Consider the following 1579-nt stretch of genomic DNA (forward strand, 5'->3'; position numbering starts at 1 on the left):
TGAAATCAATACTGTCCAGGCTGTGCATGATAGGTGAGAGGAAGGGAATACTTCCAGGAAGAAGCAGAAGTCTGGGACTTTCTTTTGACTCGTGATGTGACCTGACCAACAGGAGGCCCTTTTTTTTTTTTTTTTTTTTTTTTGAGATGGAGTCTTGCCCTGTCACCCACACTGGAGTGCAGTGGCACAATCTTGGCTCACTGCAACCTCCACCTCCTGGGTTCAAACGATTCTCCTGCCTCAGCCTCTGGAACCGCTGGGATTACAGGCATCTGCCACCACACCCAGCTAATTTTTGTATTTTTAGTAGAGATGGGCTTTCACCATGTTGGCGGCCAGGCCAGTCTCGAACTCCTGATCTCATGATTCACCCACCTTGGCCTCCCAAAGTGCTGGGGTGACAGGAGTGAGCCACTGTGCCCTGCCAGGAGGCCCTTTAAGACATTAAAAAAACTCTTATCTGTTTAAACAGAGATGGGATCTTGCTACGTTGCAAGGCTGGCCTTGAACTCCTCAGCTCAAGCAATCCTCCTGTCCCTCCCAAAATGCTGGCATGAGCCTCGGTGCCCGGCCTAGAAATTTTTTCAAGATAATAATCTTAGTAATAAGGTTATAAGTTACCAGGATGCTTGTGGTATATTGCATATGACTTATGAAATCCTTTGGAATCTCTAAATCAGATAATTTGGATTCACTCTGGCTATTAGAATACAATATCCACATCCTACTGGTAGTATGATTCTGGATATATTATGCTGCTTTCTCCAAGATGAGATAATACTGCTAACTTCATTCTCTCCAAGGGCCTTTGCACAAATCATGTAAAAAAAAAATCCATCAATAACTAACTTGCCCCTGCCACATTTATCAGGTGACCACTAATGTGTCAGGCCTTGAAAGGACTACAATCAAATGTTACACACCTAAGTGAGCCCAAGCTAGAAGAGTCAGAAGGTGAAAATAACAGCCTCCCAATGACATCACTAGGCCATCATTTCTCAACCACTGGGAAGCCATGGGCCCTTTAAAAATTAGATGAGCTTTATGAGCCCAAGTTCCACTCAATACCCTTGAAGCCTATCCAGGAAGGATCCTTGGCCCCCAGTTTTAGAAATACTTATGAACTGGAGAGAAGCCACCCAAGTCTTCTGATCCATCTTTCCCCTTTTCCCCTGTGAACACTGAGACTTCATTACTCTAGGTGGACTGGCTAGCTCTCTTCCCTTCTGAATCCTGCTCCTTCAAGTAAGCCTTTCATCTGCAGAAGATTTCAAAAAAATAAAAGACCGAATTCAAGGTAAACCTTGGGTAATGGTGCTCTGAAGTGCAGTGGTGTCTAGTTATGGAAAGGAACAAACACCCCTGCCCTCTGCTCTGTAAGTGGCATTCTAAACCCACCAAGGGACTTGCCCAGTCCTCCAGCAAGTCCTCCAGGCCCTGCTGCCCTGTTATCCTTGGGGTTGCAGGCAGCAAAGTTCTAGGGAACTCAGGTCCCAGAAAATGCAGTGATTCTGAATGTCCAACACAGACTTCATATTCCAAAGGGATACTAGTTCTCATGTTACTATAAATCCTTCGA

This window comes from Homo sapiens, chromosome 19 (assembly GCF_000001405.40).
Source record: "Homo sapiens chromosome 19, GRCh38.p14 Primary Assembly".
In the NCBI taxonomy this organism is placed as follows: domain Eukaryota; kingdom Metazoa; phylum Chordata; class Mammalia; order Primates; family Hominidae; genus Homo; species Homo sapiens.